The 21,384-nt window shown below is 38.7% G+C and overlaps 1 protein-coding gene across 21 annotated transcripts in view, besides 3 other annotated features; it reads left to right on the top strand.

Annotated features, from left to right (window-relative positions):
• RUFY3 (RUN and FYVE domain containing 3) overlaps positions 1-21,384 on the top strand; it is a 104,853-nt gene that overhangs the window by 32,993 nt on the left and 50,476 nt on the right. For 5 of the 21 annotated variants that reach the window (XM_005265656.4, XM_047449829.1, NM_001291994.2 and 2 more), the window contains one exon: positions 4,868-4,921. The exons of the other annotated variants lie outside the window; for them this stretch is intronic. In XM_005265656.4, the coding sequence (XP_005265713.1) occupies positions 4,868-4,921 (54 nt within the window). The remainder of the gene's footprint in view (positions 1-4,867; positions 4,922-21,384) is intronic. 21 annotated transcript variants of the gene reach the window in all.
• Positions 8,785-9,286: an enhancer, noted in NCBI's record as "H3K4me1 hESC enhancer chr4:71611261-71611762 (GRCh37/hg19 assembly coordinates)". NCBI's record gives its function as "activates a minimal SCP1, AML or CMV promoter by ChIP-STARR-seq in primed H9 embryonic stem cells {active_cell/tissue: H9 hESC(primed)}" and the evidence as "EXISTENCE:reporter gene assay evidence [ECO:0000049][PMID:30033119]".
• Positions 9,287-9,786: an enhancer, noted in NCBI's record as "H3K4me1 hESC enhancer chr4:71611763-71612262 (GRCh37/hg19 assembly coordinates)". NCBI's record gives its function as "activates a minimal SCP1, AML or CMV promoter by ChIP-STARR-seq in primed H9 embryonic stem cells {active_cell/tissue: H9 hESC(primed)}" and the evidence as "EXISTENCE:reporter gene assay evidence [ECO:0000049][PMID:30033119]".
• Positions 12,860-12,959: a silencer, noted in NCBI's record as "silent region_15469". NCBI's record gives its function as "represses an Ori minimal core promoter by ATAC-STARR-seq in GM12878 lymphoblastoid cells {active_cell/tissue: GM12878}" and the evidence as "EXISTENCE:reporter gene assay evidence [ECO:0000049][PMID:35858748]".

A 21,384-nucleotide genomic window follows, 5' to 3' on the forward strand; every position in this document is an offset into this window, starting at 1 on the left:
CAGGGTTTCACCATGTTGGCCAGGCTAGTCTCAAACTCCTGACCTCAGGTGATCCACCCACCCTGGCCTCCCAAAGTGCTGGTATTACAGGCGTGAGCCACTGCGCCTGGCCTGGATGTGCCATAATTTCTTTGACTATTTCTTTATTACAGGCATTTAGGTTGTTTCTAAATTTTTCTACCCAAGACAGTTTTAGAAAAATTGTTATGTGTATAACTTGAATATTTAACCAATTTTTAGTTTTTAATTTTTATACACATTGCCAAACTACTTTAAACAATTAAAACAAATTTTGAATAGCATGGTATCATAAACTTTCATATTAGCTACTCATCAAAGCTTGGTTTTGTCTTTCCTGCTTGCAGTTGGTTGCGTTTTTCTCATGCTGTATTAACATCTGAAGTTTCCAAAAGATACAGTTGTGGTTTTCAAGACAGTTGGTTCAGCAGCTGAAAACCTCATGATATTACTTTCTCTACTTTTTTTTTTTAAGCTAACAGTAGTGTCCTAAGCAAAAGAGAGTTTTTACTGTTAATTGTGCAATGAGAAACTGCATGTTTTTCTAAGATTGCTAGAATTTGCTTTTTGGGATGAAAAAGCTGCATGCTGGGATTTCCTTTTTCTTTCTTATACAGATATAAAACTAAGAGTGTATGTGAGATGTACTACATTTTGTCTGAGAATCCCACAGTGTCCAGTCCTGTGGACAGCAGCTTCCCAGCTAAAGTATCTTAGAGACATTATCTCTGCCAGCATAGCCATTCCAGCATGAGAGCAAAGGGTCTACTGGTCAGGGCTTTCTTTCCTCATCCGCTCACCCCCCATCAGGCTCAGCCCTCCTTAGCGTTCTAGTGTCACCTAGCTGCTCACCTAAGAATCTGTTTTATCTTCACTTATGTCACTAATATTAATTCCTCTTTTTTTTTTTTTTTTTTGAGATAGGGTCTTGCTCTGTCAACCAGGCTGGAGTGCAGTGGTACCATCTCAGCTCACTGCAATCTCCACCTGGATTCAAGCAATTCTCCTGCCTCAGCCTCCTGAGTAGCTGGGATTGCAGGCACACACCACCACGCCTGGCTAATTTTTGTATTTTTAGTAGAGACAGGGTTACACCATGTTGCCAGGCTGGTCTCGAACTCCTGACTTCAAGTGATCTGCCTGCTTAGGCTTCCCAAAGTGCTGGGATTACAGACAGGAGCCACCATGCCCAGCCTATTAATTCCTTTTTTTTTTTTTTTTTTGAGATAGGGTTTCACTCTATCACCCAGGCTGGAGTGCAAGTGGTACAATCTCAGCTCACTCCAGCCTCCACCTCCCAGGCTCAAGCAATCCTCCTACCTTGGCCTCCCAAGTAGCTGGGATTAGAGGCATGCTGCACTACCACACCTGGCTATTTCTTTTGTATTTTTGGCAGAGACAGGGTTTCGCCATGTTGTCTAGGCTGGTCGCCGCCTCCTGGACTCAAGCGATCTGCCTGCCTTGGCCTCCCAAAGTGCTGGGATTACAAGCATGAGCTACCACGCCCAGCCTTAATTCCTTGTAAAGCTTATGTCATACTTATTTAGATCTCAAGGGCATTGTCTATGGGTGTTTCATCTTTTTTTTTTTTTTTTTTTTTTTTGAGACGGAGTTTTGGTCTGTCACCCAGGCTGGAGTGCAGTGGCACGATCTTGGCTCACTGCAGCCCCCGCCTCCCGGGTTGAAGCAATTATCCTGCCTCAGCCTCTGGAGTAGCTGGGACTACAGGCATGCGCCACCACGCCCGGCTAATTTTTTGTATTTTTGGTAGAGACAGGGTTTCACTGTGTTGGCCAGGATGGTCTTGATCTCCTGACCTCATGATCTGCCCGCCTCGGCCTCCCAAAGTGCTGGGATTACAGGCGTGAGCCACCGTGCCCAGCCAGATGTTTCATCTTTTTAACTTCCATTGCATTAGTAAAGTCTTTTGCTCACCATAAATGCTCAATAAATTTTATTTTATTTTATTTTTATTATTTATATTATTTGTTTTTATTTTATATTACTTTATTTATTTTTGGGTCTCACTCTGTCACCCAGGCTGGAGTGCCGTGGCATGATCATAGCTTATTGCAGCCTCAAACTCCTGGCCTCAAGAGATCCTCCTGTTTCAGTCTGTCAAGTAGCCTGGTCTCCCTATATTGAGTAGGCTGTTCTTGAACTCATGGGCTAGGCGATGCACCCACCTCTGCCTTCCAAAGTGCTGGGATTACAGGCATGAACCACCACACCCAGCCTCAGTAAAATTAAAATGGCTGAAGTGTTGATGACTTAATGTGTTACCTTTTCTAGGGCTATTTGTCTTTTTTTTTTTTTTTGCTGATATTTTTGTGGAGAAAGTAGACCTTGGCCCAAATTACTGGTTTATTAGAACAAAACCTCAAAGCATTTATGAAAATTAATATATGACAATTGCTTTGTTACCAAGCTAATAATACTATGGTTAGTTTAATAGCACCTCAGCTGTTAATTTGTCATTTGGTTTATTTAGGTTGACTAATTTTTTTTCCTGTTTTTAATATTTAGCTTAGCTGGCTTTTTAAAATTCCATTCACTCTATTGTCTTTGAATAATTACGGCAAATATAGAGAAATCCAGTTGTAAGTGTAAAGTTGACATTGAGTACCTATGCTTTGCTAAGTACTTCAAATTTATTAGCTTTTATTTTCACAATAGCCCTTCAAGGAGTTATATGTGATGTGTCTGGGTTTGGGGCTTCAGAAAGGTGTTGCCTTAAGAAACCATAATAAAATTCTAAAAATTAACACTAAATCAAAGACACTTGGTCTCAAGGGGACAAAATAACCCCCAGGCCTTGTAAAATCTGTCACTTGGTTGCCTATAGCAATACTGCTAGAGAAAGGCTACCTCAAGAAGAGATTTCACAACCATGGATACATAAACAAAGGCGAAGCATTTTTTAGCCCATTCAAGCACTTCCCTGTAGAAAAGGAGCTTCATTCAGCCAGTTGCCTCATCCAGAGAAAAAAGAAGTACAAGAGGGGCCAGGCTCACCTTCTACCAGACCATGTACTCCAGAACTTAAAGTATAAAAAAAAAAAAAAAAGCCGGGTGCAGTGGGGGACGCCTATAATCCCAGCTACTCTGGAGGCTGAGGCAGGATAATTGCTTCAACCCAGGAGGCGGAGGCTGCAGTGAGCTGAGATCGTGCCACTGCACTCCAGCCTGGGTGACAGAGAAAAACTCCGTCTCAAAAAAAAAAAAAAAAAAAGATGAAACACCCATAGACCTGTTTCAGGTCTAAGAATGAAAAAAAATCAATAGACTAATTATGTAGCTCTGAAAAGATTTAAGCTGGTGGCACTGTAAACATCTACCCTTAAGGTACATAGTGACTCAAAGGACCTTGAGGTATAAAAGAATGGCATGTTACCTATTGTAGTAAAGTCCTGAGCATGCCAAGGTAAAGTGGAGAACAGCTTTACATGGAAAAGACAGACCTTTTAGTTTCTGGGGGAGAAAAGTTCTCTTAAATTAATTGCATCACTCTGATACTTAAAACTTTAATCTCTGTTTTAAGAAGAAAACAGAAAATATGTCTGTTTGTAACAGAAAAATGTTCTAGATGGGATATGCCCAAGGAAAAGTCCGAGATCCCTGGTATCCACCACGCATTCCTACCTAGAAATTCACTTTCCAGAGCCTTTTTCTATACAAATCTTGGAGGCTCTTCATATTTTGCTTTACTAAGGTAGGCTTTTATCTTCATAGGTGACAAATAGAGTTTCTAATTAAATACAATACAATAAAGAACAAAATGGGAATATTCCCTCTATTGACTTTTGCAAGGTCACAGCAAGTCTGTAAAGTAATAATGTGGATGGTAAGAGTCCATTCTCATGAATCTGTAATCCTACATAATATAGATTTGTGGCACATTATATTGTCAAAGGATTGAACCTGAAAATGACTTCTGCAAATATGTCTATATATAATGTATTTCAGCACTAATTTACTATAAAATAATAGTAGCCAACTCACAGTATTTTTTTTTCTGTATGAGACACTTTCCATTTGCTTTACATATATAGACACATAATTCCAAAATTAAAAAAACCTCTGGAAATGAAAAGCATTTTTCACAAATTTGCCTGAACTTATTTGGTGTTACAACATGATGTGAATTTACTTGAGGCTATTTATAGTCTTTATTCTACTTAATCTGAATATTCATTTCCTGCAGAAATATTAATGTGCTTGATTGTAGGTTACTGCCTCAGATCCTGCTAGTTCTGTATGGTGAATAAACATCTGGCTTTATTGAATTATATGTGATTTATTTTGTGTATCTTCAAAGTAGCCTCCTTTATTTTTGTTTTGGGGAAGGAGAATTGGGGGAGGGGGAGTTGGAAAAAGTATTTGGATTTTTTTTTTTTTTAAGAAAAGTCACTAGTTTGCATCATAATATTTGTCCTGAATCTAAAAGAAATATATCGCACATACTTTTCAATTCCCTGAAGTGATCAAAATAATAGTTGAGTTAGATTAATGTCGCCTACACTTAGAATACAAAGAGCCTTTGATTTTCAATAGAAAAATAAATCTGTGTTGCTTTTTAATAGGATATGCATCTTTGTTTCCCTTTATTTGAAACTTTGAAATTGCTAATCTTAGCTTTGAAACATATTTAATAACCGTAGTTGCTATCTCTGCTTATTTGGTTGTACTCCCAGCCCTTGTCACTGTTAATCGCTGTGATAAGTAGAAAGAATCCTAGGAACCTCCCTTTCAGTTATCCCTTTGGAAATCTTGTTTTTAATAGCACTTTTCTTTCTGGGCTTGCATGACATTTTATCTTTCTTTTCCTTTCTTTTTGCCGTTTGCAAAGACTCTTGGGAGGATTTGACAGATTTGGTGGAGCAAATGCGCGATGATACAGAAGGTGCGTGCCACACCAACATCTTTCAGCTTTTTCTCCTTGCTTTTTAAAATTTTCTAACCACCTTTTAATTGTTTTCCGTAAGAGGAAATGTCAGCTTTAGGTTTTATTTCCCATGGCAATAAGTGGAAATCTTAATGTTTTGGTTCCAAGTAAAATAGTGTCAATGTATGTTTATGTTGCTTTTGAAAGATATTTGCTGAATAACGTGTTTAAAAGGGACATTATTTCAAGATTATATCAAGTTTTTGCCATGGCTGTTTTTTCACTTGTTTGTTGAGAAAGTGTAAATTTTATTACTCATGCAAATACATGTATATATATTTCTGTGAATTTCACAGCAGCCAAAAGCAAACAGATCCCAGGAATCTAGTGGTTGGCCTGGAATGTTGCTCTGATTTGTAGATTTCCATAACATTACACACTTAAGCTTTGTCATGTCATAGCATTCTTTTCTGGTGTAATTATTTTTTGTTAATTTTTTCTTCTTCATACAAGAGACTGAAACATGGAATGGTGTGATTATCTTTTTAAAGTAGCACACATGTTCTAATGTGGAAAGGTTCCCCAAACCAATCAGTGTTTCTTCTGTATCAAGGCAGCTAACTATAGGGAGCTCAGAGCGATTTACACATTTTATACTAAAAATAGAAAAATTGAGATTTGAATCTACTTTATCATTTTACATGTTCCCGCTTTGCTGTAGCACACACCCCTGACACACACACATCCACCACTCTGTCCAGACTGACCTTTCCTGCCCACCTCCTCCTCTCCTACTTTGTTCCTGTGACATCTCATGTATTTATACCCTTCCCCCTCCGCCTGTGCCACCTGCGAACCCTTCAGTCCTTATGGGATTTCCACAATTTACTCTTTGACAGCTTTGGCCCACATTCTTTTCTCCATTCACTTGCTGCTGCAGAACTTGGAGCTTAAGGAAGGCTTTTTACTTATTCTCTAATTCTTGTGTGTTTATCAACCTAGTTAAAGGGTAAACTCCTTGAGAACAGAGATTGTCTTAAACTTCTTGGTATCCTTAATCAGACCTGGGACGAGTACTGCCCTCAGTAGATCTGGTCATTACCAAACAAAATCAAGGCAGCTTTACCCTCTCTGTTGATGCCCAAGAGTATCTTCTGTTTCAGCCCTTGCCTTTGAATGTGTGAATTCTGAAATCCTGAGTGTCATCTCTTTTCCTTTGGTCAAACTATTTTTATGCCATCTTTGATTCTGCTTTTAATATAACTGATTACATATAGTTCAGTGAAAGAACAAATCAGTATTGTCTAGTTGATTGACAGTTCACAGACAAGAAAAAAGAGAAGGATGTTGATTCATTTAGTGTGTAATGTTTACTATTGTGTTAGCTGCTATTATTATTATTATTATATTTATTTATTTATTTTGAAATGGAATCTCACTCCATCGTCCAGGCTGCGGTGCAGTGGAGCGATCTCATCTCACTGCAACTTCTGCCTCCTGGGGTTCAAGCAATTCTCCTGCCTCAGCTTCCTAAGTAGCTGGGATTATAGGTGCATACCACCATCCCTGGCTAATTTTTTTGTGTTTTTAGTAGAGACGGGGTTTCAACATGTTGGCCAGGCTGGTCTCGAACTCCTGACCTCAAGTGATCCACCTGCCTCAGCCTCTCAAAGTGCTGGGATTACAAGTGTGAACCACTGTGCCTGGCCTATTATCATTATTATTAATTATTGGCTAGGCACCACCAGGTTTAAGGCTTTAATTCCTTTGATAGACTAGATATTAAAGGAAAATGCTACATAAAGTTTATCCCCTTCTTGAGAACTTTACCATGACTCATCACAGGCAAGATTCTATTTCTTTAATACAAAGTATTAATAATGCAAGAGTCAAGCTTACTGTGAGAGTCAGACTCCTTTTTTTTAATTTTGTTTTTGCTGGGATTTTTGTCGATGGTTATTATAGGTGAACTCCAAAAGGGAGAGAAGATGAACTTTAACAGTATAGTACATAAAATATCCAGAAAATGTTGATTATGTCAGTACCTTCATGATCTTAATAGATTTCCAGTCAAGTGATATATGGTAATGTTGATCAAGATCCTCTTTACAGAAAAGTCTTTCTGAAAAGTAGTTAAAAAAAAAAATGAGAATGGGGAGAGGGAGATGGCTTCACTTTAACTCTTTTGATAATTTCATTCTTCTTGATATCCTTCTCTGCTTTTCTTGCCTCATGGTCTCAATCACAGTTATGTAAAATTCCAGCATTTCACACAACTGTATTACGTAACTTGGAGATGTTATAAATAAGTGCTAGTACTAAGAAGAAATAAGTTATGGAGTATTACCTGCACATAACACACAATAGCAATTCAGGGTCTGGGAAGAATCCTCATTTCAGACTCAGAAAAAGCTGATGATATATGCAGGCTCAGATCTTTTCTGGAGACCTTCAACTGCTAAGCTGTTTTCAATGCTGTTTCTCATCTGTTATTGCAGATGGGCCATAACAGTTGGCTTTTTTAAAATTTTATTTTATTTTATTTTATTTTTTTGAGACGAGGTATCACTCTGTTGCCCAGGCTGGAGTGCAGTGGCATGATCATAGCTTCCTGCAGCCTCGAACTCCCAGGCTCCTTCCTCAGCCTCCTGAGTAGCTGGGACTACAGGCATGTGCCATCACACCTGGCTAATTTTTATGTATGTATGTATGTATGTATGTAGAGACAGGGTCTCACTTTGTTGCCCAGGCTGGTCTCAAACTCCTAGGCTCAAACGATCCTCCCACTTCAGCCTCCCAACGCACTAGGATTGCAGGCTTGAGCCACCGAACCCGGCTATAGTTTGCTTTTTAATAGATAGAGTGTTAACACTGGCTTCTGGCCTCCTAAAAATTTTTAAAATAACAGACTCTAGTGGGTTGCAGATTTGAACTGGTCGTTGTTTTTGTTTTTTGTTTCAGTTCTGTCACAATTGAAGCTTCTTATTTTGAATTTTTTTTTTTTTTTTTGAGATGGAGTTTCGCTCTTGTTGCCCAGGCTGGAGTGCAATGCTATGATATCAGCTCACTGCAACCTCCACCTCCCAGATTGAAGCAATTCTCCTGCCTCAGCCTCCTGAGTAGCTGGGACTACAGGCACATGCCACCACATCTGGCTAATTTTTGCATTTTTAGTAGAGACAGGGTCTCACCATGTTGGCTAGGCTGGTCTCGAACTCCTGGCCTCAGGTGATGCGCCCGCCTCAGGCTCCCAAAGTGCTGGGATTACAGACATGAGCCACTGTGCCCAGCCCTTTTGAATTTTTTTAGAAGATGGGAGTCTTGCTGTGTTGCCCAGGCTGGAGTGCTGTGGTGCAATCTCGGCTCACTGCAGCCTCTGCTAGTGATTCTTCTTGCCTCAGCCTCCTGAGTAGCTGGGACTACAGGTGCACACCACCATGCCTAGCTAATTTTTGCATTTTTTAGTAGAGATGGAGTTTCACCATGTTTGCCAGGATGGTCTCAATCTCCTGACCTCGTGGTCCACCCGCCTTGGCCTCCCAAAGTGCTGGGATTACAAGTGTGAGCCACCGCGCCCGGCCTGAACTATTTTTTACAGTGATGATTAGTTTCATATTCTATGTGTTTGTAACTTATATCTACTAGAATATGAAGTGTCTTCTTAGGGTACAATTGTATGATGTACAACACCTATTATATTGCATCTCCTTTCCTTATATGCTAGTAATTTGTGTCTAAAATGTTTTGAAACTCACTAGGGAAATTATGAACATTAAATTAAATAATGAAAGGCACATAGCTTATTACCTTTAGTTTTTCAATAAATATCGGATTTCTGTCTGTACTCATTACAAGCCTTTTGAACAGATTTTGTAAATTTGCAGTGGCCCAGATTACTGCCCGTCTCTCTGAGGATTAAAATAGTCAGGACAGTACTTGAATTTAGGCAATAATATACCTGTGTAAAATATTACCTACCAAAATTGCATACTGGTTCCTTGGCATTTGGGGGCAGAGGGTGTTAAGACTTGATGCATGTTGAAAAACAGAAGAAACATATCTTAAGAGATTTTATTAGCTTCTAGCACTGTGCCACATCGTCATTCAATAAGCTTATTAAGTTAAACAAAATTGTTATAATGGCTTAGAGTGGTGGTTCACTTCTATAATCCCAGTACTTTGCGGGGCCGAGGCAGGCAGATTACTTGACGTCAGGAGTTCAAGACCAGCCTGGCCAACATGACAAAACCCGTCTCTACTAAAAATACAAAAAATTGCTGAGGCGAGGAATTGCTTGAAACTGGGAGGCAGAGGTTGCGGTGAGCTGAGATCACGCCACTGCACTCCAGCCTGGGCAATAGAGTGAGTCTCCCTCTCAAAACACAACAACAAAAAAATTGGCGGGGCGTGGTGGCTCACGCCTGTAATCCTAGCACTTTGGGATGCCAAGGTGGGCGGATCACTTGATGCCAGGAGTTCAAGGCCAGCCTGGGCAACATGGTGAAACCCTGTCTCTACTAAAAATACAAAAAGTTAGCCAGGTATGGTGGCAGGCGCCTGTAATCCCAGTTCCTGGGAGTCTGAGGCACGAGAATCGCTTGAGCCCGGGAGGCGGAGGTTGCAGTGAGTCAAGATCATGCCACTGCACTCAAGCCTGGTTGACAGAGCAAGACTCCTTAAAAAAAAAAAAAAAAATTAGCCAGGCATGGTGGCGGGTGCCTGTAGTCCCAGCTACTCAGAAGGCTGAGGCAAGAAAATCACTTGAAGCTGTGAGTTGGAGGTTGCAGTGAGCCGAGATTGCACCATTGCATTCCAGCCTGGGTGACTGAGCAAGACTGTCTCAAAAAAAAAAAAAAAAAAAAGTTATGTACATGGAAGACCATAATAATTGCAGTAGCTAACAACTTTTTTCCTTAGTATATTCCAAGCACTTCTAAATGGTTACGTATAAGAACTTGTTTACTCTTCAGAACCCTGTCACCATTTTATAGATAAGGAAAGTGACACATACAGAGGTTAAGAAAGTTTCCCAGCAAAATACTACTCAGTTGTAAAAAGGAAGAGACCACTGATACATGCAACAACCTGAATGATTCTTCGGAGAATTATGCTGAATAACAAAAAGTCAATTTTAATGGTTGCATACTATATGATTCTATTTACATAACAGTCTTGAAGTGATGAAAGTATAGAAATGAAGAACAGATTAGTGGTTGGCATGGGTTGAGGATGGAGTAGGGGCAAGGAGAGATGTGGGCATGGCTATAAAACATCAATATGGGGGATCCTTGTCGTGATGGAAATGTTCAGTGTCTTGACTGTAATTCAACATCAGTATACTGGTTGTGATAATGTACTACAGTTTTGCAAGATACCCTTGGGAGAACTAGGTTAAAAGTACATGGTATCTCTCGATATTATTTCTTACAATTTCATGTGATTCCTCAATTATCTCAAAACAGAAAATGCAACAAGAGAAAAAACTTTTCCCAAGGTCACACAGCTAGGGAAGAGTTTGAATAGAGTTCAAACTCCCACAGACCAGCTTTAGAGCTTGTGCTGTTAACCACTACACCAAAATTGTTTAAACTTATTTGACACAAGAACAACTGTAAAAATACATCTTCATCAGAACTCAGTACACACATCATTTATTTGTATGTATCTTAAAACAAAAGTTTCATGAAACAATACATAGCCTTACTATATAGGACATTAAATTGATTTTGTGACCCACTAAAGGGTTGTGACCTTTGTTTGAAAGACACTCCAGTATCCTGTGCTGCCTCTCTGGTATATACATCCATTTGTACGGTAGCCACTGTCTAGGTGTGTGCAAAAAAAAAAAAACAAATTCCTGAAAGGACTGTTTTGGCTCTGTTTCCAGCCTGTAATCGTGGGCATACTTTAAAGGCTGGGCTAGTAACCTTGCATCCTTCTATTTCTCTTTAAAACATCTCCTTGTGAAAGCATCTTTTCTCATAACTGCTATTATTGTCCTATGCTGATGACTCTCTAAGTCCAAACTTCCATTTGCATTTACAACTAGGTGATCAAAAATATCTTGAAAGCTGGGCATGGTGGTTGCATTCCTGGAGACCCATCTATTCAGGAGGCTGAGGTGGGAGGATTGCTTGAGCCCATGAGTCCAAGTCCAGCCTGGGCAACATAGTGAGACCTTGTCTTTAAAAATAATATGTTGAGAATCCTTCCACATAAATATCCTTTATGATATCCAAAACCAAGTTTATTTTGCCCTTTATCTCCATAACAGTTACTCAACTTTTTCATTTCCCTTTATAGCACACTCTTCCAGTCTCTCAGGGCAAAAATGTTGGTGTTATTCTTGACCCCTTCATTTCCTTTATCTTTTCTATGACTATCTGAACTTGAATCACTACAGTTCTTCGTGGCAGACCATTTTGATTCTCTTCCCTCAAATTCATTTTGCGTAATCTTCTCAGATTAGTCATCTCCAAACAAAATTTTAGGCACGCTGATTCTCTGCTCAAAACTACAGTGGTTCCCATTGCTTCCTCCATTAATATCCAAGTCTAGTTTCAGAGACCTCTTTATCTGACTCTACCCTACCTGTGTTTTCCAGTTCTCCCCAGTAAGAACTCCCTCTTCCACTCTTATTTTCTCCACCTGACTTCACACACCCATTCCAACCACTTGGAATACCGTCCTTCATGTGTTCTGTGATACCACGACATTTAGGATCTACCTCAAGTACTGCAGTATATTGAGATTTATCACACTTTTATTCATATTACTTTTGGTGTTATCTCATTTGAAGTACAAATGTACAATATTCCAGGGAGTTAAACTAAGGACAGTGGTTATTCCTGGTTTTTGTCAGGTCTGAGGTTTACCTGCTTTAACAAATTAATAAAGCCTCTTGCTGTTTCTTGGATGCTGGCAAAAGACACAAGACTCCTAGGTCAGAGATAAAGGACTTTATTACTCATGACAGTGCAAGCAGCCTGAGCATCTGCATATCTGTGCCAGTTCTTCTTGGACCAGAGTCCCATGGGGTGACACTGGATGGCTCAGTGACATGCTTCACACGTGGTAGGTTTGTGTTGCAGATGAAGAAGGCCAAGTTGGGAGAACCCATTGTTTTTATAGGAAGCAGTAGGAAAGCTTCGTCTCTCATTATCAGGTTCATAAATGGCCCAGGAAAGAGTGGTCAGGGCCGTATAGTCTTGACATAACCCAGTAAAGAAATGTAGGTGCCCAAGAGGTCCAAGGAGGATTGTCTTCCCCAACATTTTACAGATGAAACAGAAGAATGAGGATTTCCCCCAACATCACTCAGGGAATATGAGAGAGACAGATCTAACCCTTCTAGATCATAGATCTAACTGCGATTGCCCTCTCACATCCATTTACATTGTTTTTCTTTTCTTTTCTTTTCTTTTTTTTATACCTAGGTAAAGCCCAAAACATTTAAATTATTTCTATGCAATAAATTGAGCAAACCAAGGAATTCTTGGGTTGTATTTACCACCTAAATTTCTTATGTTGTATCAAAACAACGAAGGTTTGTCCTAACTTCTAAATGTTTCCAGAAATCTTCTAGGTATTCTTCTGCAGCATGGAATTCTCAGGTAAAGGTAACTGAAGAAGTCTGGGAAACTTTCCAAAACTAAAATTGATTATATTATGATATGGGAGCCCAATGAAGAAGAAATCAGTGTGTTTCCTAGGGAACTCTTGTGCAAGCTAATATATTTTTTTTTAATCTATTAAAGATTAGAGAAATGTATACCTAACCAAGAATGAGTAAGAGTATATGAAAATAATGGTTTTGGTTAAGTAAGCTGACTCATTTCAATGCTAAAGCCCATCAAAAGGGTTTTTTTTTTTTTTTGGTTATATACGGAGGTAGAAGAAACTACACTAGTTTCTTCTTACCTTCTTACAGGAGGCCAGCAGCTAAACCTTGACCTGGAGTAAGAGAAAGCAGAATTACTTTTTTCTTGTCTTGTCTTTTTTTTTTTTTTTTGAGACAGGATCTCACTCTGTTGCCCAGGCTAGAAGGTGGTGGCACAGCTCACTGTAGCTTACACTTTCCAGGCTCAAGCCATCCTCCCACCTCAGCTTCCCAAGGAGCTGGGACTACAGGTTTGCACCACCACACCCAGCTAATTTTTTGTGTGTTTTTTATGGAGAGGGGGTCTCACCTTGTTGCCTAGCCTGGTCTTGACTCCTGAGGTCAAGCTATCCATCTGCCAGCCTCAGCCTCCCAAAGTGCTGGGATTACAGGTGTGAGCCACTGTGCCCAGCCAGAATTTTACTTTTACTTTAAATTTTTTACTTTTAATTATGAAACTTTTTTTTTTTTTTAAAGAGACAGGGTCTCAACCCTGTTGCCCAGGCCAGAGTACAGTAGCATGATCATAGCTCTCGTAGCTCTCTGTAACTTTGAACTCTTGGTTCAAGTGACCTTCCTGCCTTACCTCAGCCCCGAGTAGCTAGGGCTATGGGTGCGTACCACCAAGTCCAGCTTAATTACACAACTTTTTATAGTACGTAAAAAGAATAGCTTAATGAACTTAAATATCTCCATCACCAGCTTCAGTAATTATTGCCAATCTTATTTAATCTAATACCTCCATTTTTGTTTCTGGAGCATTTTAAAGCAAACTCCAAACATTACATCTCAGCACCTGTAAATCCTTCAGTGTCAGAGCTAACAAAATTAACAACAAAGTCTTATAGTGTCTCAGCCCATTTTCAAAGTCTGTTGATTGTCTCAAATATGTCTTTTTATAGTTGGTTTATTTGAATCAAGAAACATACAAGTTATATATTATTATTATGTCTAAAAACTTTAGTGGTTTTTTTCTAATAATAGCCTTATTGAGGTACAATTCACATACCATAAAGGTCACCACTTTAAAGTGTACAATTCAGTGGTGGTTAGTATAGTCACAAAGCTGTGCATCCATCACCACTCTCTAATCGAAGAATATTTTCATCACCTTTTCTAAAAAGAAACTCTGTACCCATTAATAACCACTCTCTATTCTTCCTCCTCCCAGCCGCTGGCAACCACTAGTCTATTTTCTGTCTCTGCAGTTTTTTTTTGAGGGGCTTCTTCAAGTATTTACATATGTCTCTCTCCATAGATTTGCCTATTCTGGGCATTTTATATAAACAAAAATAAAATATGTGGTCTTTTGTGTCAGGCTTCTTTCACTTAGTATATGTTTTCAAGGGTTATCCATGTTGTAGCATGTATCGTAACTTCATTTCTTTTTATGGATTAATAATATTGTATGGGCATATCATATTTTGTCTATTGGTTGGTGGACATTTGGCTTGTTTCACTTTGGGGCAAATTATGAATAATACTGTGAACATTAATGCATACATTTTGTGTGGATATATTTTTTAAATAATTTCAGCTCTTGTTTTAGATTCAGGGGCTACATGCGCAGGTTTGTTACATGGGTATACTGTGTGATGCTGAGATTTGGGGTATGATGGATCCTGTCACCCAGGTAGTGAGCATAGTACCCAACAGTTAGTTTTTCTGCTTCCCTCCCACCACCCTCTAGTAGTCTTCAGTGTCTATTGTTGGCATTTTTATGATGTGTGGACATGTTTTCATATTGAAAATGTTGAATTGCTGGGTCAAATAACTCATATGTTTAATTTTTTGGAGAATTGCCAGACTGCCAAAGCAGCTGGACCATTTTACACTCCTACAAGCAAGGCACAAAAGTTTCCAGTTTTCCACATTCTTGCTAATACCATTTGCTTCAATGAATAATTATTATTGTTATCCTAGTGAGTGTGAAAAGGTATCTCATCTTGATTTGTATTTCTCTAATTAGCATCTTTTCATATGCTTTCTGGCCATTTGTCTATCTTCTCTGCAGAAATGTATATTTCAAGCCTTTGCCCATTCTTTTTTACTAGGATTATTTCTCTTCTGTTGTTAAATCATAATAATTATTTATACATTCTGGATATTGGATCTGATTTGCAAATATTTTCTGCCATTCTGTGGGTTGTCTTTTCACTTTCTTGATGATGTCGTTTGAAACACAAATGTTTTTATTTTTGATGAAGTCCACCTTACCTATTTTTTCTTTTGTTGCTAAACCATTGCCTAGCCTATGGTTATAAAATATTTAGACCTGTGTTTCCTTCTAAGAGTTTTATAGTTTTAGCTCTTACACTTTGGTCTCAGATCTATTTTGAGCTTTTTAAAAAATTATTTTGCATTTGGATATCCAATTATCCTACCACCATTTGTTGCAAATAATAATTTTTGTAATTTTAGTAGAGATGGGGTTTCACCATGTTGGCCAGGCTGGTCTTGAACTCCTGACCTCAAGTGATCCACCCACTTAGGTCTCCCAAAGTGCTGGGATTACAGACGTGAGATACCGCGCCCAGCCTGATCTTTTAAAATTTCTTGCAGCAAAGTTTTATAGTTTTCCATGTACAAGTCTTGTACTTCTTTTGTTAAGTTTATTGGTAAATATTTTTCTGGTGCTATTGTAAATGGAATTGTTTTTAAATTTCTTTTTCGAATTGTTTGTTGCTAATGTATACAAATATAATTAATTTTTGTGTATTGATCTTGTACCTTACAACCTTGCCAAACTCATTTTATGTACATACTTTGTGTGTGTGTGTGTGGATTCCTTAGGATTTTTTATATACAAGATCATGTCATCTGCAAATATAGTTTTACTTCTTCCTTTTCAAACTGGATGCCTTTCATTTCCTTTTCTTGCCTACTTGCCCTGGCAAGACTCGCCTATACAATTTGGTTAGAAGTAGCAAAAGTGGGCATCCTTGTCTTGTTCCTGATCTTTGAGAAAGCCTTCAGTCTTTTGCCATCAAGTTTGTTAGCTGTGAGTTTTTTGTAGATGCCCTTTGTCAAGCTAAGGAAGTTCTTTCTCTTCCTAGTTTGTTGAATGTTTTTATCATTAATGGATATTGGAACTTGTCAAGTACTTTGTCTGCTTCTAATGAAATGACCATGTGATGTCTTTCTTTACTCTGTTAATTTGGTGTATTACACTGATTGAGTTTTGTGTGTTGGACCGACCTTGCATTCTGTGATTAATCCCACTTGGTCCAGTTATATAATCCTTCTTATATGTTTCTGGATTTGGTTTACCAGTATTTTGTTAAGGATTTTTGTGTCTGTATTCATAAGGAGTATTGATCTATAGTTTTCTTATGATATCTTTATCTGATTTGGTCTCAAGGTAATATTAGTGTCATAGAATGAGTTCGGAAGTTCTCTCTTCTAATTTTTGGAATAGTCTGTCAAGGATTGGTGTCAATTCCTTAAATGACTGGTAGATTTTAACAACGAGACTATCTGGTCCTGGCCTCCTCTGTATGCTATTTTTTTATTATTATTACTAATTCAGGATCTTTACTTGTAGGTCTGTTCAGATTTCCTATTTCTTCTTATGTCAGTTTTGGTAGTTTGTGTCTAAGAAATTGTCCATTTTGTCTAGATTATCTAATATGTTGACATACAGTTGTCCGTAGTATTCCCTTATAATCCTTGTTTCTGTAATGTCAATACTACTGTCCCCTCTTTCATTCCCGATTTTAGTAATTTGAATCTTCTCCCTTTTCTACTGATCAGTCTAGCTAAATGTCAGTATTGTTAATCTTGTCAAAGAGCCAACTTTGGATTTTATTGATTTTTCTCAGTAGTTGTTTTTGCTTTTTAATTTATTTCTGATCTAATCTTTATTATTTCCTTCCTCCTAGGGCTTTCTACTTATATACATGTATGTTGGTTGCCCTTGATGAAGCCAACTGTGAAATCATGGAATTATAATATGCTAGCTAGGAGAGTGATCTAGGCCAGTGCTTCTCAAACTTTAATGCACATACAGATTGCTTGGGGATCTAGTTAAAGTGCAAAACCTGATTCAGTGGTAGTGTTGAAGTCTACAGCTTCCCTTGTCTAAAAGCTTTCCTGGTTATGCCAGTGTTGATGTTCTGAGACCAGAGAGTAGAAAGGATCTAGTTCATTTGGTATCAATCATTTGTGGGATTTTCCAAACAGAACATGTCATTTCTCTGGTTCCAGGTATATTAATATGTCTCTCCCTTTGAGAATCAGTGCTGCTATATGTCATTATGACTATTATGAATGTGCATGGTTTCCAAGGGAAAAAACTGAACAAGCCCAACCCTCTCATTTTACTGATGAGGAAATTGAAGCTTCAAAGGGGTGAGATTTCTTGCCTGAAGTCATATAATAGGTTAATTGGCTCCATGGATGAGTATATTAATCCTTTCTGATGACAAGTCCTAACTCAGTGAAGTTCATCATTGATTATACTGTTACCAAGAAAAGGTAGCAATGAGGACAAGTAAATTTATGGTTAATTTTTTTTTTTTTTTCGAGATGGAGTTTTGCTGTTGTCGCCCAGGCTGGATGGAGTGCAATGGCACAATCTTGGCTCACTGCAGTTTCTGCCTGCCGGGTTCAAGTGATTCTCCTGCCTCAGCCTCCTGAGTAGCTGGGATTACAGGTGCCTGGCACCACACCCAGCTAACTTTTGTACTTTTAGTAGAGATGGGGCTTCCCCATGTTGGCCAGGCTGGTCTCGAACTCCTGACCTCAGGTAATCCACCTGCCTCGGCCTCCCAAAGTGCTGGGATTACAGGTGTGAGCCACCAAGCCTGGCTGGTTAATTTTTTTGACTAACCCCTTTAACAGATTTCAATCCAGAGAAAATGTTACTTAAGTAAATTTTCTTATTATTGAGTAGAAATATGATACCTGAGACGCCATTAAGAATAGATAGATATAGTTATGGATATAGATATATAGATATTCTAAGGGTCCTAAGACTCTATTATAATTTTTTTTTTTTTTTGTAAATGAGGATAGAATAAAAGTTCATGATTGTCTCATACAAATAAGTGTCATCAGGCTAACTAAATGGTGTTTTATTACAAGGTCTTTTTCAGTACTTTCACTTCTTTCTTTCACAATTAAGGACTCATTTTCTGTCCAGTTTTATACGCTAAGGTCTTTTTAGTACTTTCACTTCTTTCTTTCACAATCAAGGACTCATTTTCTGTCCAGTTTTATACTCTAAGAACAATTATTGCAAAAGTTCAAAATAGATTTATTTAAAATTATTGTTCTTCAGTCATTCCCAACATAGAGTAAGCTTTTCTTTCTATATGTTTCTGTTAGTTTGTTGTTTTTAATCTCATATTAAAGCTTTTTTTTTTTTCTTTTTTTCTTGAGACGGGGGTATCACTCTATCTCCCAGGCTGGAATGCAGTGGTGTGATCTTGGCTCACTGCAACCTCCGCTTCCCGGGTTGAAGCGATTCTCCTGCCTCAGTCTCCCTAGTAGCTGGGATTACAGGCGCCTGCCACCATGCCCAGCTAATTTTTGTATTTTTAGTAAAGACGAGGTTTCACTGTGTTGGCTAGGCTGGTCTCAAACTTTTGACCTCAGATGATCCTCCCTGAGCCACCGCGTGAGCCACCAGCGTGAGCCACTGCGCCCAGCCAAAAGCTTTTACACATCTTTGAAAAGTCTTCTGTGTGATAACCATTTTGTTTCTTATATAAGATAAAAGCTTTAATCTGTTAGATAATAAGAAAATTCTGAAGAATAACTATGATTGTGCTACATATTAATATCAATTATTCTCTGCCAAGAATTGCATATAACATACTTAATACTAATATTAAATATATCTTTCTTTTCCTTCAATTATTTAGAAAACATTTCAAGATTTTGCTGTATGAACATTAGTCATTGCATTATAAGAAGATAAAATGGCACCTTGGTGACATGATTTGTTTTCAGAACAATATGACTCACTGTCACTGTTAGCTATATGACTTCAGATCACTTTTATCATCACTATTAACTAAATGAGCTACATGACTCTGTAAAGTTTATTAAAATACCCTTATATGGAAATTAGCAGTCTTGAAGAGATACAGTGAAGAATCACATGCTTTTTGAAAGAACATTGAGGTCGGGTACGGTGGCTCATGCCTGTAATCCCAGCACTTTGGGACACTGAGGCGGGCGGATCACGAGGTCAGGAGATCAAGACCATCCTGGCTAACACAGTGAAACTCCGTATCTACTAAAAATACAAAAAGTTAGCCGGGCGTGGCAGCAGGTGCCTGTAGTCCCAGCTACTCAGGAGGCTGAGGCAGGAGAATGGCGTGAACCTGGGAGGCGGAACTTGCAGTGAGCTGAGATCACGCCTCTGCACTCCATCCCGGGTGACAGAGCGAGATTCTGTCTCGAAAAAAAAAAAAAGGAAAAAAAGAACATTGATTTGAGAACCAGTCAACATAATGTATTATTTTAACTATAGTCACTTCCACATGATTTCTTTAGTCCAGTGCTCTTGCTGTATTCCCCACCAATGTGATCTGCACCATCGTCCATCTAATCGCCAAAACTACAAATAGGGAAGTTACTCTCCATTCTCCTTGACTATGTCCAGATAGTCAAGCTATGAAATGCTAACGTTCTACCCCAGAATGTCTCTCCATGCTGACTCCCTCTTCTCCATACAGCCCCACTGCTCTAGTTCTACCCTTTATTATTTATTTTCCTCTGCCATTGCAGTAGACCCTTACTTGCCCCTCAGCTTTGAGTTCATGCACCCTTCCAATCATCTTCCAAAAGGATGCAAGAATGGCTTCTCTAAAATTCAAATTTGTGACATCACATCCCACGTTAAAGTCTTCACTGACTTTAAGGTGAAATCTGTACTCCTTAAACAAGGTCCTTAGCAGTCTGCCCTTGTCTCTTTCTCTTGTCTCATCTCTAATACTTAAACCCCTGGCATTTTTTCAGTGTTGTTTTTCTTCTGTGTATGTTATGTTCTTCCATACTTCTGTACCTTTACCTAAGCTATTCCTTCCATCCTGTTCCCTTCACATCTCTACTGCTACCCCTTCCTTACGTGACTCCTTTCTTTTTATCCTTTAAGATTGAACTCAAAAGTCTCATCCTCTGAGGATTTATAGAAACACACGGGGCCCCTAAAATTGAAGGAAAAATAGGGAGCCAGGTCAGATACCTTTCTCCTATGCATATTCCCCTGGTATCCTGTATATACCATTGTTGGAGTTCTTACTGCAGTGTAGTTGCAGTACTTCTCAGTCTTCTCCACAGAAGTGCACCCAATGTCAGAGGAAATTGTATTATGCTTACAGCCTGCCTGAAACCCTAAATTAATGACATCAATTATCTTAGTTTTAAGAAATGTAGAAAACTAACATTTCCATAGAATAGGTTTATGTCATTTAACAAAAAAAAAATTTTTTTAATTAGCTGGGCATGGCGACCCATGCCTGTAATCTCATTACTTTGGGAGGCTGAGGTGAGAGGATCACTTGATCTTAGGAGTTTGGGACCAGCTGGGCAACATAGGGAGACCCTGTCTCTACAAAAAATAAAAAAAAAATTAGCCGGGCATGGTTGCACACACCTGTTTATTATCCCAGGTACTCAGGAGGCTGAGATGGGAGAATCACTTGAGCCTGGGAGATTGGGACTACAGTGAGTTGTGATCGTGCCACTGCACTCCAGCCTGGGTGATAGAGCAAGATCCTGCCTCAAAAATCAAAACAAAACAAATGGAACATTTAAAATTATTTGTTCTGGGCCGGGCGCGGTGGTTCATGCCTGTAATCCCAGCACTTTGGGAGGCCGAGGCAGGTGGATCACCTGAGGTCAGGAGTTTGAGACCAGCCTGACCAATATGGTGAGACCCTGTCTCTACTAAAAATACAAAACTAGCCGCACGTGGTGGCACATGCCTGTAATCCCAGATACTTGGGAGGCTGAGACAGGAAAATCACTTGAACCCAGGAAGACGAGGTTGCAGTGAGCCAAGATCGCGCCATTGCACTCCAGCCTGGGCAACAAGAGTGAAACTCCATCTGAAAAATTAAAAAATTAAAATAAAATAAAATATTTGTCCTGGAATAAAATTGATCTTTGTTAAATATGATTATGTTTATCCTGAAATTTCAGGTGTTTGCTGTACACTGCCCTATTTGTTCTCTATAAGTTTGTATTAACCAACTGCGATAAATAGTAAGCACTTTGATGGCAGGGACTAAGTCTATTATTACCTCTGTATTTCTAGCATTAAAACAATATCTAACACATAGTAGATGTTCAATATGTATTGAAAAAAATAATTGCATGAAAGTTCTCTATTGGAATGATAGTGTTAAATGCCAGTGTTGTGAACATTTTAAAATTTTAAATCATTTTTCTCATAGGAAAAGCTTGACTGATGATATCATGAAAGTCATGCATGTTTTAAAATGGCTTTCTGGCTTATACAATATAACAGAATCTTTTTTTACTTTATATAGTTAAAAGTACAAAATACACAGAAAAGAATCCTATATTATAAGTATTCAGCTCAGTACAATGTTACACACACAACATGCTTGCATAATAAACACCCATA

The sequence above is a fragment of the Homo sapiens genome, chromosome 4 (genome assembly GCF_000001405.40).
Source record: "Homo sapiens chromosome 4, GRCh38.p14 Primary Assembly".
NCBI classification, from domain to species: Eukaryota; Metazoa; Chordata; class Mammalia; order Primates; family Hominidae; genus Homo; species Homo sapiens.